General features: G+C 40.5%; 1 protein-coding gene and 1 pseudogene across 2 annotated transcripts in view, besides 2 other annotated features; both read left to right on the top strand.

Annotated features, from left to right (window-relative positions):
- The window catches only part of HECTD4 (HECT domain E3 ubiquitin protein ligase 4), a 222,237-nt gene that overhangs the window by 67,243 nt on the left and 139,467 nt on the right, over positions 1–15,527 (top strand). For both annotated transcript variants that reach the window (NM_001388303.1, NM_001109662.4), the window contains exons 3-7: positions 643–732; positions 2,042–2,172; positions 5,520–5,628; positions 6,298–6,436; positions 8,955–9,125. In NM_001388303.1, coding sequence (NP_001375232.1) covers positions 643–732; positions 2,042–2,172; positions 5,520–5,628; positions 6,298–6,436; positions 8,955–9,125 — 640 coding nt within the window. The remainder of the gene's footprint in view (positions 1–642; positions 733–2,041; positions 2,173–5,519; positions 5,629–6,297; positions 6,437–8,954; positions 9,126–15,527) is intronic.
- Positions 11,571–11,830: an enhancer, noted in NCBI's record as "active region_7048". NCBI's record gives its function as "activates an Ori minimal core promoter by ATAC-STARR-seq in GM12878 lymphoblastoid cells {active_cell/tissue: GM12878}" and the evidence as "EXISTENCE:reporter gene assay evidence [ECO:0000049][PMID:35858748]".
- Positions 11,991–12,040: an enhancer, noted in NCBI's record as "active region_7047". NCBI's record gives its function as "activates an Ori minimal core promoter by ATAC-STARR-seq in GM12878 lymphoblastoid cells {active_cell/tissue: GM12878}" and the evidence as "EXISTENCE:reporter gene assay evidence [ECO:0000049][PMID:35858748]".
- Positions 12,504–13,377, top strand: RPL7AP60 (ribosomal protein L7a pseudogene 60; annotated as a pseudogene).

Genomic DNA, 15,527 nt, shown 5'->3' with positions numbered 1-15,527 from the left:
TCTTAAAAGCACCTTCTTTTAGATCTTGCTGACCATATGACAGACTTCCCAGAGCCTTGAGTCTTGGAAACCACAAGGAATTCAGGTAGCGGTGAGCCCTGTTGCAAGTATTACAACTATGTGCAGTCAGAGGGATACAGAAGGAGCATCTCTCAGCACAGAGCATTATTTATTTGAATATATTCTTTTTGGTCATATTTAATGTGATGGAGTTTAGTTAGCTGTTTTTCCAAATGAATGAACTTAGCAAAGATTTTAAAATCAAGCCTGGAAATACTGTTAGACTTTATGATCCTCCAGAGGGTGACTTGGTGATATAGTAACCAAGCATAATAGCCACAAGTTCTTTGTGCTCGAGCCTTATGTTTTGAACTTTTATGCCAGGGGAAAATTGTTTACTTTTCCAAATGCAAGGAGAACTTCTTCATAATTGGCATGGTGTTGTTTTCATTGTATCTTTGTGTATGAGCCAATGGTGATAGTTAATAATCAAGTATTTTTTTTACAACACATCATCTGACCAGCAGAAGCAGAGAGACACATTTTGGAACTTTTCCATGTGGTTAATTAAATTAGCATTAATGACCTAAATTATTTGATTTTAAATTTTGATGATTTACTGTTCCTTCCTTTTATTTTTAGGGGATCATTGAAAACTTTCGTCCACACAGTCCATCTATTACAGAAACAGACGGATCTAGGGTCCCTGCCTGTAGCTGATGTGCTATATAGGTAAGTTGTCACTTTGTATCCTTACCCTCCTTCCAAACTAGGCAGATTTGTGCCAAATGCTTCCTTTATTAAGTAGATTGCTAAACTCTTATCAATTAGTGATTCATTTTAAAATAAGTATAGACTCATATTTACCTTCTTAAGAATTTTATTTTTTATCTTTCCTTTTTGGAAAGTTTTTAGAGCATGTTATTTTTCATTATTTTTTAGTTCTATGTCTTTAAAAATGCAATAGCTGGTGGGGCATAATAACTCATGAGTGTGGTGGTGCGTGCCTGTGGTCCCAGCTACTAGGGAGGCTGAAGCAGGAGGATTGCTTGAGGCTAGGAAGCAGAGGTTACAGTAAGTCGAGATCACACCACTGCACTCCAGCCTAGGTGACAGGGCGAGACTCTGTTTCAAAAAATAAAGATGCAATAGCTTATAATGAATTCTGATGCAAATTTTGAGATGATAATATATTAAGGTATAATGAAGAAAGTGAAAATCATTCATAATCTCATTACCCAAAGATAACTACTCCTAACATTTTGGTACATATGCTTCCTAATTCATAACCCACTCTGTCTCTCTGTCACACACAAAAATACACATAAAATAGTATATTTTACACACAGATATAATTTTTATAAACATAGCTTCGTAATTTTTTAATTTAAAAATATTGTAGCAGGGCGTGATGGCTCATGCGTGTGATCACAGCACTTTGGGAGGCCAAGGCGGGAGGATCACTTGAGGTCAGGAGTTCAAAACCAGCCTGCCAACATGGCAAAACCCCATCTCTACTAAAAATACCAAAAAATTAGCCGGGCGTGATGGTGAGCCCCTGTAGTCCCAGCTGTTTGGGAGGCCGAGGCAGGAGAATGGCATGAACCTGGGAGGTGGAGCTTGCAGTGAACCGAGATCACGCCACTGCACTCCAGCCTGAGTGACAGAGCGAGACTCTGTCTCAAAAAAAAAAAAAAAAAAAAAAAATTAGCCGGGCATTGTGGCAGGTGACTGTGGTCCCATCTACTCTGGAGGCTGAGGCAGGAGAATCGCTTGAACCCAGGAGGTGGAGGTTTCAGTCAGCTGAGATCGCACCACTGCACTCCAGCCTGGGTGACAGAGCGAGACTCTGTCTCAAAAAAAAAAGAAACATAAATAAAAAATAAAAATACTATAAATGTCTTTTTTGAATAATATTTGTATAAAATATTATACATCTTAGTTTTAAAATTTTGGTTTCTACTCTTTGGGGTAGCAGGTATACTTCTTGCTGAAATGGATTGTCTCAGTGTCTTTGTGATTTTCTTTCTCCCCCATATAGGCTGTTGCTTTTGGAAGGGGGGCCTGGATCTCCCTCCTGTTTGCTTGGGGGCAAACACATAGTATCATGGGGTTATGAAGACATGTTGCCTGCGCCGGATAGCAACACTGGCTCCAGTTCTGAAAATAAAGGTAATGTAAAAGTTTTTGTCCTGTGATTAATAGTAAGATGTAAATAAAGAGGTTTTAGATCACTGTAGCAAATGATATGGCTATAACTCTGTATGTTCCTTTTAATTAAGAGCTCCAGATTTCTATTCAGTATGTTCATTGTCTGCTTTATCAGTAAACGTATAAAAGCTGATACTGGTGAGGTAAGAAAATGGATAGGTTTTATTATCACAAGGAAAAGATATCATCCATACACTCTTGCCAAGGAGCCATGAATTACTTAAATTGGCTGCTGGATATTTGAGTTTGGGTATGATAGCCTTAAGTTGAATTTTTTTGTCTGCTAATAGAATATCAGGTCTTACTGCTTGATAATATTTCCTTTAGTAATTTATTGTGTGTGTGTTAATGAGCCCTCCTGTCCTAAAAGCAAAAAATGAAGAGGTTCAAGGGAGCATGAATTGTTAACATCTACTTTAAACAAATAAGCTAGGTTAAAATGTTTTTACAGAGCTTTACAGTATTACATGTCAGTTTCTTACATTATCTCAACAAAAATGGCAGAAGCTCTCTTAACTGACTTGGCAGATGGGATAGACCTCTCCATTCACTCAGTAAAATGTCTAGGCTGCTGCCCTGCCGTGGCCCACTGAACCCACAGGGCTGGTCAGCTCTGCTCCCACCAGCGGAATTGCAGGCTTGCCAAGAGGTAGGCTTGCTCCCAAACCAGTTTGTTAATTGTAACTGGTACTTATTATTGTGATTTTATCATTAAATCTTACATAACTGATGAAATAGGAATTTTAAAAAAACCCAGGAAATAGTTGCCATTAAGAAGTTGAATGTTTTAGAAAAACTCCACGAAGTGAGTCTCTAAGAAACTGGTGTTCATCAGGTGTGGGACAGAGAGTCTGTTCCTCCCTCCCTTTCATTTCCCACTTTCCATGGGGCAGCCTTCCTGGGCAACCCCACCAGCACGGAGGAGAATCTAAGCGGCAGGCCCCCTCGCATCTCTCAGCCCAGGGCTTGTACCTTTCCATGGTCTACCATTTCTTCTAAACAGGCATGAGAGTGTGTGGAGAAGAAGCGGCAAGGCTTTTAAATGTGATTTATTTCCTTCACTAATTCAACTAGAGTCAACAGGAGAGGGAGAATGCCTGCAGTACCCAAGAAGTTCTCAGACATTATCGGCTCCAACTTACTTCTTAATATAGAACTAAAACTTCTTTCTTGATTCTCTCCTTTTAAAAAACTCCATTTGGTATCTCCCTTGGGGTAGTTTCTCACTGAGGAGGATGGCATTAAGCTGATCTGTTTGCTTTCATTTTCCTGAACCTTTGGTTTTGCATCTAGGGAGAAATGGTTTTCTTTTTTTCTCTCTCTCTTTTTTCTTTTTCTTTTCTTTTTTTTTTTTTTTTGAGATGGGGTCTCGCTCTGTTGCCCAAGTTGGAGTGCAGTGGTGCAATCACAACTGCAGCCTCGACCTCCCAGGCTCAAGCAGTCCTTCCACCGTAGCCACCTGAGTAGCTGGGACCACAGGCATGCACTAACATGCCTGGATAATTACTTTATTTATTTATTTATTTATTTATTTATTTATGTAGAGACGGGGATCTCGCTTTGTTGCCCAAGCTGGTCTTTAACTCCTAAGCTCAAGCCATCCTCCCACCACCTCAGCCTCCCAAAGTGCCAGGATTGTAGGTGCGAGCCACGGCGCCTGGCCTGTTTTTCTTATATAGTTTTTAGACTAATTTATGTAATCTTTTTTTTTTTTTGAGACAGAGCTTCGCTCTTGTCGCCTAGGCTACAGTGCAGTGGCGCGATCTTGGCTCACTGCAACCTCTGCCTCCCAGGTTCAAGCAATTCTCCTGCCTCAGCCTCCCTAGTAGCTGGGATTACAAGTGCCCACCACCATGCCCGGCTAATTTTTGTATTTTTAGTAGAGATGGGGTTTCACCATGTTGGCCAGGCTGGTCTTGAACTCCTGACCTCAGGTGATCTGCCCGCCTCGGCCTCCCAAAGTGTTGGGATTACAGGCATGAGCCACTGTGCCTGGCCACAGTGTAACTTTTAATATTGAAACATTCCACATTTGACTGATGTTGAGAGAATACTATAATAAGCCCTGTGTACTCATCACTCAGCTTCAACAAGTATCCATTCCTGGCCAATCTTGTTTTGTTTGTCCTTTTCACTTCTGCCCCTCGACAGAGCCATACCCAGAAGGCCTTGGGCCTTAATCTAAAAATTGATGAATAAATGTAATCTATAAGTTTTAAATTAAAATGTTTAAGGTGTGAAATTAATGTTTTAAAAATGGTTACCCACTTTAACAAATTTTTTCATTGAGGAACCAATAGGTACAGGTCCCAGTTGTCTCAGATTAGTAGACTGAATTTTTAAGCTAACAGCATTTTTAGTACTAATTTGACGGTGTGACATTGCATTTCCTCCAGCTAATATGGCATGCTTCAGGTGGAAAGACTCCACTTAAACATAGTGAGCAGAATGATTATGAAAATAAACAATGAAAGTTTTATCCATAAGCTCTATTTTAAGGCAAATTCTTTGGAATTTGAGTTACTAAACCAATTACCATCATATAGAGAGATACTGTTTTAGATTGAGGAAGACAGAGCTAAGGGGAAACATATTGCTGTTTTAAAATAGAAAAGATATGAAACTTTTGTGCTTTGTCCCTCCAGAGACTAAAATTAGGATCTCTGAATGGAAAATCTACAGAGGCAGATTTTAGTTTAATGTATATCATTAGTATATTAACACAATTTCATTTGCCATTTATGGAATACTAGCTTTGCATCAGAGAGCAGTATAGATGTATTTACCTCTATTATCTCATCTGGCCATCACTGTAACCCTTGAGGTACATATTATTATCCTCATCTTACAGATGAAGAAACTGACGTTCAAAGAGGTTCAGGGTCACTTACTGAGCTCATAAGAGCTCATGCCTCTCTTACTATGCAATTACTAATAAAAGTGTTGTACTGTATTCTTAGTCATTTCAAATTAGAATTATGATTAGTCATTTCAAATTAGAATTAGGAATGACTTGACTAAGTACAAGCTTTTCAAAAAAAAAGAAAGAAAAACATTTGGCGGGCTAAACCACATTCCCCTGCTGGTAACTGTCTGACCATATCTTGGTCTCTGGTCCACATGCATTTTGGATGTTTGATTTGGGGGCTCAAGCCATCTTCCCTGAAAGTCACATTGAAGCTCTTATTTTAGAAGTGAGAAGTAATCTTTCACTCAACCTCCTAATGGCTTTTTCATTAGAAAAAGCATGTTTATAATTTCAATAGAAAAAACATATATATAATTTACCTGTGAAAAAACGATTTCAGATGCTGACTTGGGACGCTGTCTCACGGCAGATGGTCTTTACCTGTATACTACTAACTCAGTTGGAAGAGGAGTAAGCAAATTGGGATCTGGATTACATGGTACTCTCAGGTCAGTTGCATGGAACTTCCTGAATGATTGGGCTAGAACATTATCCTCCTTACATAAATCTCTGAAGAAGACACTGTGGGTAGATTCCAGCTCCCCATAGACTAGTAACTAAATAACAAGTCTGAACTAATTCAAATAATTCCAATCTTCTCTTATTGCCACCTTTCCCCATCTTGTTCTGTTAATGCATTTTAGCCTTGTTTTGGCCCAGAAGAGTTTGGTAGCCCCAAGATCATTGTTTCCAGCCAGAAAGTCCTCCATGATCAGTATTTTTGTAACAATATCAGTGACTTCTCCATGTTAATAAGTGGACATTTTTCTACTTAAGTCTCTTTGAACTTGGGTTTGACATTGGATTAGCAAGTGATTTTCAGTTGGGATATAAGATCTATAAACTGCTGCCAAAAGAAACTACAGTTTGAAAGCCTTGTATACATTTAGATCTTTTCCCCCAAATTTTTCTCCCCTCTAAGTTATTGTGGAAAGTCAATATTTGCTATAGTTTGGCAGTCCTGAAGTTAATGTAATACATTCACTTTCCTTCAGATGTTTTACATACTTACTCATTTTTTAAAATTAGGTCGAAAATGTTGTTTGTGTCTGTTGTAGCTTGTGTGGGGTTTCTGACATAGCCAGGTGATTCAGCCTGTGCTCCATTTCATTCCACAGAGGTTTTGTGTACTGCCGGAACGAGGAGTTGGAACCAGGATGGGTGGCTTTTGGCAGCGGCAGTCTTCTCCACCGGCCTGTCTCTTTCGATAATAAACCTCACTCCCTTTTCCAGGTCATTGACCAGAACACCCTTCAGGTAAACAGAAAACCAAGGCATTTTTAAAACATATTTTAGAGGCAATAAAGAAAGTTCCTATATCATCAGAAGTAATAATAATACAGTTGATATATTTTCCTCCCAGAGTGGCATCCTTTTAATTGTTATAGTTTGGGCATTCTGTTTTTTATTTAATGTCTTAGACTTTTCCCATATGAACTGAGTGAATGTGTTCTCTAAGTTTCTGCAGCCTACAACAAACTTTTTTTTATAATTAAGAAAAAATTCTAGACAGTCAAAGATGGTATAAATACTAGCTGGTTTTTTTTTTTTGTTTTGTTTTTGTTTTTTTTTTTGCTTTTTTTGAACCAGATCTATTTTGGGAAGGCATCATTTCCTTATTCAATTTGTTCTAAACAGCCTCTCTGTGGGAAAGGGAGCTTTGAAATGAGTGTAGAGTAAAATCATTGTGTGCTAGGGATTGAGAGCTTGGCTTTAGTGCTCTCGTAAGCACTCTGCCATGGCACTTGCTGTATTATACTGCAGTTACCTGCTTTTCTGTCTGACTTCACTGACCATGCACACCTTTAGGTATGGACCCTGTCCTACTCATCTGTGTATCCTTAGAACATAACACACTGCCAGACATTTGACTGATAATAATAACAATGATGGTAACTACCATTCCTCAGCATCTCCTATGTGCTAGGCCTTGGCCTAGGCAATTAACATACACTTCCTCTTCCTACCTGTGAGGCATTACTATGTAGGTTTATCTTACAGATAAGGAAACTGAGGCTAGGCACCTAGTAAGCATTCAGCAAGTGTTTATTGTTGAGTGTAAGAATACAGCTCAGAGAGGTTAAGTAACTTGCCTAAGGCCATACAGCCAATAGTAGCGGCACCAGAACTTGAACCTTTGGTTCTCTGCCCAGTACTTTGAACTCTTTACACTGCAACTTTCTGCCTTTCAAACAAAGTTGGATTAAATGATTAGAGTTGGCGTCTGTGGAGTGAGTGCTCTAAGAGTAGTCACATCTAGAAATTAAGTGTAATGTTACATTTCTTCTTGTTTGTCACTCAACTGCCTGTCCTAGAGAACAGGGACTGAGTCTTGTTCACCACTGTCATCTCCAGAGCACATAGTAGGTGCTCAATAATTGTTGGATGAATAAAATGAACAAATTAACAAATAGATGCCCAATTAACCTAATTTCTTGTCACAAGTGCAGACAGATGAGAATGTCTCATACTCATTTGAAATAGAAGTTATAAGACTGGTAGTTAAACAGATGTTAAATCTCAAAACATGATTTACATTTGAAGTAGTGCCAGGTTCCTCAGTGTTGTTGCAGAAACTTTGACACTGTCCAAGAAAGCAGGGCTGTAGGTCACAAACTAGATATGTGCATTGCAATGGAGCACTTTGGGGATAGCACAGGCCAATTAGTAGCTGTCAACTTTCTAGTCTTCCTGGCACTGTAGGTTCAAAGTATGGTTACATCAACTAAATGAGTTTTTACTTTTGAGCTAGACAAAACAGGTCTGGAAAAAAGTTCATGTGAAATCAATTGAGGGGTCAGAGATCGCCTTGGGAAAACTAGTGCCCCCTCCCAAAGTAATGGGAAATTGAACATTGTTCTCACTGTTCTCTGAAGGCATCTGACTTTCTCTAATTATTTTTATTTTGAGTTTCTCAGCTCTTCTATTTCTGGATTTTTTTTTTAAACCTAGCCAGCAGGTTTTTGTGGTTCTAATGTTCAGTCATTTTAAGTGCCTGTCTTTGGCAGTAAAAATTAGTATGTAGCTACACATTTAATGTGAAATGATGCAAAGCTTATTCATTATGCTGAAACAGAAGGATGTTTAGTATTAGAAACACATGCCTTCATGTTTAATATACAGAATTGGTGTTTGTCTTTTCCTCCTGATGGACTTGGTGAATTTCAGTAAGCCCTCATATGCTAAGTTAGGATCTGTCATGGGCCTTTATATTTTTTACTTTGTTTCTCCTTCTCCCTCTTCTCAGCTTTTCCTCTTGGCTTTCTTTTGCTGTCTCTTTTTTCCTTCTTTTCATATTCATTAAATAACTTTGAGTTAGGCTTTCCGTTAGGTACTGGAGATATAGAGGTGAATAAGACACAGTTCTTGTCCTTTAAATAAAATTATCATAAATTCATTTACTAAAGAAATTTCAGAAAGTGTTGCTTCTCTAAAACTTTGTTTTTAATAAGTGTTAGATACAACACATATGCATAACAGATTCAAAGTGTTTAGTAAATACTTTTTCCTATTAAAAAGTAATTTGAATTGATCCCAAGAACCTTTTCATCTGTTGCATGGCTGTTCATATTTATTCTATTGCCCATTGTATGAACTTTTATATTTTTGCCATGTAATTTGTGTATGTTATTATTAGAGATAAATATCCATTTTATTTTGACCAGAAAGCCTAGTGAATTCTCATCTTGGGCATAATGGCATTAATGATGAGCTGATAGGATTAATCAGAATTTATATGTGGCTCTAATGGAGATTTCCTCCCTTTCATGCCCAGGTGTGCCAGGTGGTGCCAATGCCAGCCAATCACCTCCCCATTGGCAGCACCATGAGCACTGTGCACCTGTCTTCAGATGGCACTTACTTCTATTGGATCTGGTCTCCTGCCAGCCTGAATGAGAAAACACCGAAGGGACATTCTGTCTTCATGGACATTTTTGAACTTGTGGTAAGTTTGAACTTTCTCGCTTGTATCTTTGCAGAAACATTTCTGTTTGCTTTCTTTTTATATTGGTGTGCAAAGGGCCTAAGAACCTTGCAGCGTGTATAGTGTGTTCAGTGTTTCCTTAAAATTGATTTTTCTCTTAGATGTCTTTGAAGGTTTCTTTGTTTGGAGTTGTATGACAATAAGTAGAGCCAAGCTTTCTGAATGTTAATCTGATGACTGGAGATAACATTATTTAATGTGTAGACAGAAGGGTATTTAAGTAGAAATGCTCACAGTCTGTTGGAAATGTGGGGCAACATTACAGTAGCAAGAATGGGTCTACAGATAGAAATTGGGAGTCTCTGAGAGAGATAACAACATTGTGACATGTCACTTACCTTTTAGATATTAGCCAAATGCTCACTGAGAGCCAAGTGTGTTCTGTCTAGGTGGTGGGAGTACAGAGATGGGCAGGGTGGGCAGGGTTCTTGCCCAAATGTGATGTGTATTCAGGCTCCAGAGTTGGGTGGGTTGATGATGGTGGAGAGGCATAAAGATTAACCATAAACAAGTGAGCAAATAAGCGCACGAGATAATCGTAATTAGTGAAGGAAAAGTAGTCATGTACCAGATGAAGAGGCTGGGGAGTAGGTGAGGGAAGAACATTCCAGAAAGAGGATACCACACGTGCAAAGTGTCTGTGGCAGGAGGCAGCATGTTTTAGGGAGAAAAAGTGGGCCAGAGTGGCTGGAATGCAGAGAGAGGAGGAGGGCTTGGGGCAAGAAGCAGCTGGGAGCCACGGCGCTTTAGATCCACACCGTCTTGCACAGTGGCTGCTAGCCATACGTTGCTATTTAAATTTCACTTGAAATTTAATAAAATTAAAACTGGAGTTGCATAGCTTGATTAGCCACAGTTCAAGTGCTCAGTAGCCATATGGCTAGTGGCTTCTTCGTTGAACAGCAAAGATATAGAACATTTCCATCATGAAGAATGTTCTATTGGACAGAGCCGGTCTAGGTAGGATTTGTAGAGACTTATAAAAGAACAAATTGCCCCAAGCCAGGTCTGTGACAAAACCTTTTTTCATGAGGTAATTTACAGTCTCCTTCTGGGAAGAAATTAGCATTCCTGTAAAAAAACAAAAACAAAAACACCGAAGCAATTTTCTAATAAATTTTAACAGGATTAAAACATGTTCTGGGAAGCCAGTCATCCAACCCAGCAGCAGACTATCCATCAGGAGTCTCGTAACCTTTAACTGTGCAGGTTATTTTTCTATTGAATCTCACAGTGTCCTCTAACCATTATCTTACAAAATGTCCCTGCCAGAGTGAATCTTTGAATTGGTCTGCTACAGATTGAACATGTGTTCATAATTGTCAGAAAAGCTTTTTTTTTTTTTTAATTGGTTTTTAAAGAGACTTACCAGCTGTTTAAGGAATTTTCATTTAGGTCTTGGCTGAGCACAGTGGCTCATGCCTGTAATCCCAGTGCTTGGAAGGCTGAGATGGGAGGATCTCTTGAGCCCAGGAGTTTTAAAAAGGGAGCTGGAACTTAAAGTGGCAGTGTTTGTCTGAGATGACGGTGCTCCTGCTCTGTCAGAGACTAGCCTGGGCAACATAGCGAGACCCCGTCTCTGCAAAAAAATACAAAAATTAGCTGGGTGTTGTGGCATGTGCCTGTAGTCCCAGCAACTAAGGAGGCTGAGCAGTAGGATCACTTCAGCCTGGAAGGTCGACCAGAAGGTTGATTGGGGTGACAGTGAGCCCTGATTGTACCAGTGTGCTCCAGCCTGAGTGACAGAGACAGACCCTGTCTCAAAAAAAAAAAAAAAAAAAAAAAATTAGGTCTTTAGCCTAAGAATAATGGGAACATTGAAGAATTCCCTGATTCTCTGATATGCTTTTTTTTAATTAAAAGAAAAAATTGTATCAAAAAAATCCACACACTTTTTTCTTTTTGGATACAGGCTCATAATGAAAAACAGGAGACCCTTGCCCCACTCCTCCAATCCCAGCATGCTCCTCAGGCAATCACATTCTTCTGGTGGTGACCTTCATATCCCTAAGTAAAACGCTTATATTGCTATTTCTTGATTTATGAACGCCAGATATAAACAAAGTTGATTTTTCTTTCTTTTTTGCTGTGATAGATGAGAGTTTGTCTCAATTCTCCCTCTTTTCTTTTTTTCCTTCCTTTTTTTTTTCTTTTTTTTTTTTATTTTGAGAGAGAAAGAGAGGGTCTTGCTCTGTTACCCAGGCTGGAATGCAGTGGCACAGTCATGGCTCATTGTGGCCTCAACCTCCTGGGCTCAGGTGATCCTCCCACCTCAGCCTCCCAAGTAGCTGGGACTTAGGCGTGCATGACCACACCCAGCTAATTTTTGTGTTTTTTTGTAGAGACAGGGTTTCACCATGTTGCTTGGGCTGGCTTCGAACTCCTGAGCTCAAGTGATCAGCATGCCTCAGCCTCCCAAAGTGCTAGGATAACAGGCCTGAGCCACCACACCTGGCCTCCCTCTTTCTTTTCTGATTCCGCCTAGCATATTGATTTCCTTTGTTTTAGTTTTTCTTTTAGTTATCTTTGTAATTTACAGTTAAACCTTTATTTCTTCTTTATGAACTCTAGGCAGTATCTCTTATCCCCCTACTTTTAGAAGATAAGATGGAGAGTGTAGTATCCTTTCTCATACTTCCGTGTGGAGAAAGCCAAGTATACGTTTAGGGGAATACCCAGAGGAAGAGAGATGACTCACCCCACCAGCCTTAGAGCATGTTAGCAACTGGGACATCAGATGTGGTACACAGCCATTGTGAGACAAGGTGGTAGACCGTGAGTTTACATAAGGGCCTGCAGGCCCCCTTCCTGTTCACACATTTGCATTCAGATGCTGGCTGTCCAGGCCCAAGACTTAGTTATTTTCTGAAGAAACTGAATGACCCTGGAAAAAAGACCTCTCATACTGATGTTGGGGTCATCTAGGAAAAAGACTTGCCTCCCTGGTGAATCACCCACAAGTGATGTCTTCCAGCAAGCAAGACTCAACCCTGTCCACAGAATTCCTGATTAGTGCTGAACTGTTAAAAAAAAAAAAAAAAAAAAAGAGCAGACAAAATAAAAACCCAAACAAACAAAATTCCAAACTTTGGAGAGGTATGTGTATGGAGGGGAGGCAAATGGGTTAAAAAAATAGTGCTAATGATTGAAGCCAGGGGTTCAGCACATAGGAAGCTCATTGTTCTATTCTTTTTTCTTTTGTGTGTGTTGAAAATTTTCCCTAATAAAAAGTTTTAAAATTAAACAAAAAGAGCAGACTACCAAGGATCATTAGAAAAGTGAGGAAAGCTTCTAATATGAAGATTAAAAATGAGAAAAAGTTAAAAAACAGCTAACTGGCCTCCCACTGCCCAAGACGCTGAAAGGAAAGAAGGCCAAGGGGAAGAAGGTGGCCCCGGCCCCTGCTGTTGTGAAGAAGCAGGAGGCCAAGAAAGTGGTGAATTCCCTGTTTGAGAAAAGGCGTAAGAATTTTGGTATTGGACAGGACATCCAGCCCAAAAGAGAACTCACCTACTTTGTGAAATGGCCCGCTATGTCAGGTTGCAGCAGCAGAGAGCCATCCTCTATAAGCAGCTGAAAGTGCCTCCTGCTATTAACCAGTTCACCCAGGCCCTGAACTGCCAAACAGTTACTCAACTGCTTAAGCTGGCCCACAAATACAGACCAGAGACAAAGCAAGAGAAGAAGCAGAGGCTGTTGGCCCAGGCTGAGAAGAAAGCTGCTGGCAAAGGGGGCGTCCCCACTAAGAGACCACCTGCCCTTCGAGCAGGAGTTAACACCATCACCACCTTGGTGGAGAACAAGAAAGCTCAGCTGGTGGTGATTGCACACGATGTGGATTCCATCGAGCTGGTTGTCTTCTTGCCTGCCCTGTGTTGTAAAATGGGAGTCCCTTACTGCATTATCAAGGGGAAGGCAAGACTGGGCCGTCTAGTCCACAGGAAGACCTGCACCACTGTCGCCTTCACACAGGTGAACTTGGAAGACAAAGGCGCTTTGGCTAAGCTGGTGGAAGGTATCAGGACCAATGACAATGACAGATACGATGAGATCTGCTGTCACTGGGGAGGCAATATCTTGGGTCCCAAGTCTGTGGCTTGCATTGCCAAGCTCGAAAAGGCAAAGGCTAAAGAACTTGCCACTAAACTGGGTTAAATGTATACTGTTGAGTTTTCTGTACATAAAAATAATGAAAATAATACAAATTTTCCTTAAAAAAAAAAACAGCTAGCTGAAGAAATAGAGTAAAACTTCACATAAGCACCAACTGCTCTGTGAGATATGTGAAGATATTGCATTCATATTATAAAACAGGACAGGATGCCTCAAAAAGGAATTATCAGGGAAAGAGAAAATTAAAACTATGATTATCGAAAGAGTTAAGAAATATTTCAGAAAGGACAAGTAGATAAAGAACAGTAAATATGAGAGAAAAGATAAAAGATGTGGTGGAGCCATCCATCTAAAATCTTGCTAATAGGAGTTCCAAAAAGAGAACAGAAAATAAAGAGGATGACATGATCAAGAAATAATACAGGCGGAGGTCTGGGTGCAGTGGCTCACACCTGTAATCCCAACACTTTGGGAGGCTGAGGTGGGCAGATCATGAGGTCAGCAGTTCGAGACCAGCCTGGCCAACGTGGTGAAACCTTGTCCCTACTAAAAATACAAAAATTAGCTGGGCATGGTGGTGGGCACCTGTAAAGCCCAGCTACTAGGGAGGCTGAGGCAGGAGAATCATTTGAACCTGGTAGGCTCCACCAAGGCGGAGCTGAGATCGCGCTATTGCACTCCAGCCTGGGCAACAGGGCAAGACTCCATCTCAAAAAAAAAAAGTACGACCGGGCGTGGTGGCTCATGCCTGTAATCCCAGCACTTTGGGAGGCCGAGGTGGGTGGATCACAAGGTCAGGAGTTCGAGACCAGCCTGGCCAAGATGGTGAAACCCCGTCTCTACTAAAAATAAAAAAAAAATTAGCCGGGCATGGTGGCAGGCACCTGTAGTCCCAGCTACTCGGGAGGCTGAGGCAGGAGAATTCCTTGAACCTGGGAGGTGGAGGTTGCAGTGAGCCGAGATTGTGCCACTGCACTCTAGCCTGGGCGACACAGCGAGGCTCCATCTCAAAAAAAAAAGAAAAAGAAAAAGAAGTAATACAGGCTGGGTGCAGTAGTTCATGCCTATAATGCTAGTAGGGCCAAGAAGTTCAAGACCAGCCTGAGCAACATAGTGGGATGCCACCTCTACAAAAATTTTTTTTAGATTATGCAGGCATGATGGCACACTCCTGTAGTCTTAGCTACTCGGGAGGCTGAGGCAGGAGGATTGCTTGAGCCCTGGAGGTCAAGACTGCAGTGAGCTGTGATTGCACCACTGCATTCCAGCATGAGTGACAGAGTGAGAACCTGTCTCGGAAAGAAAAAAGAAACAATACAGGAAAGACTTCAGACTGAAGGACGTTGGTATCTGGATTAAAAGGTGTCTGACATAGTTAATGCAAAATGCCCACACCATCATGAAATTTCAGATTACCAAGGATAAAAGAGGATTCTAAAGCTTCCAGAAATGTAAAAAAATAATATACAAATGTTGAGCAATTCGAAAAGCACCAGGCTATCCAATAGCATTCCTGGATGCGAAAATGGAGCAGTACTTTCAGAATTCTGAGGGAAATTGTTTTTGTTTCTTTCTTTTTCTTTCTTTCTTTTTTTTTTTTTTTTGAGATGGAATCTTCCTCTGTCACTCAGGCTGGAGTGGAGTGGCATGATCTCGCTCACTGCAACCTCCACCTCCCAGGCTGAAGCGATTCTCCTGCTTCAGCTTCCCTAGTAGCTGGGACTACAGGCCATCATGCCCAGCTAATTTTTGTATTTTTAGCAGAGACGGGGTTTCACCATGTTGGCCAGCCTCGTCTCAAACTCCTGACCTCAAGTGATCCACCCCCTTGGCCTCCCAAAGTGCTGGACTTGTAGGCGTGAGCCACTGTGCCTGGCCTTGGGTCTTCCTTTTTAATAGTTCAGTGTCCCCTGCCTCCTGCCAGAAATTGTTTTTCAACCTAGAAGTACATATTCAACCAAAGTGTCAATCAACTGTGAAGACAACATAAAGATATATTTAGACGTATAGTTATGTAATCAAAAGCTGATACCTGCCTTGGAGGAAATAGAACAATTAAAAAACAGTCCCTGCCTGCGGCATGAAATAAAAAGTTGAGGAGGAAGGAACCTGCTCTACATTAAAAGAACAACTTCTGAATAATATTCAGAGTCTGAATAAAACAAACCAATTAAAAAAATCTTTTTGGAGATAATTTGAATATGAAAGTATTAGGAATATTAGATGAAACCAAGGGGCTTAGTCTTAGTT

This window comes from Homo sapiens, chromosome 12 (assembly GCF_000001405.40).
Source record: "Homo sapiens chromosome 12, GRCh38.p14 Primary Assembly".
NCBI classification, from domain to species: domain Eukaryota; kingdom Metazoa; phylum Chordata; class Mammalia; order Primates; family Hominidae; genus Homo; species Homo sapiens.
Note: the sequence above shows the minus strand (reverse complement) of the source record. Positions and strands in the feature narration are given on the sequence as shown.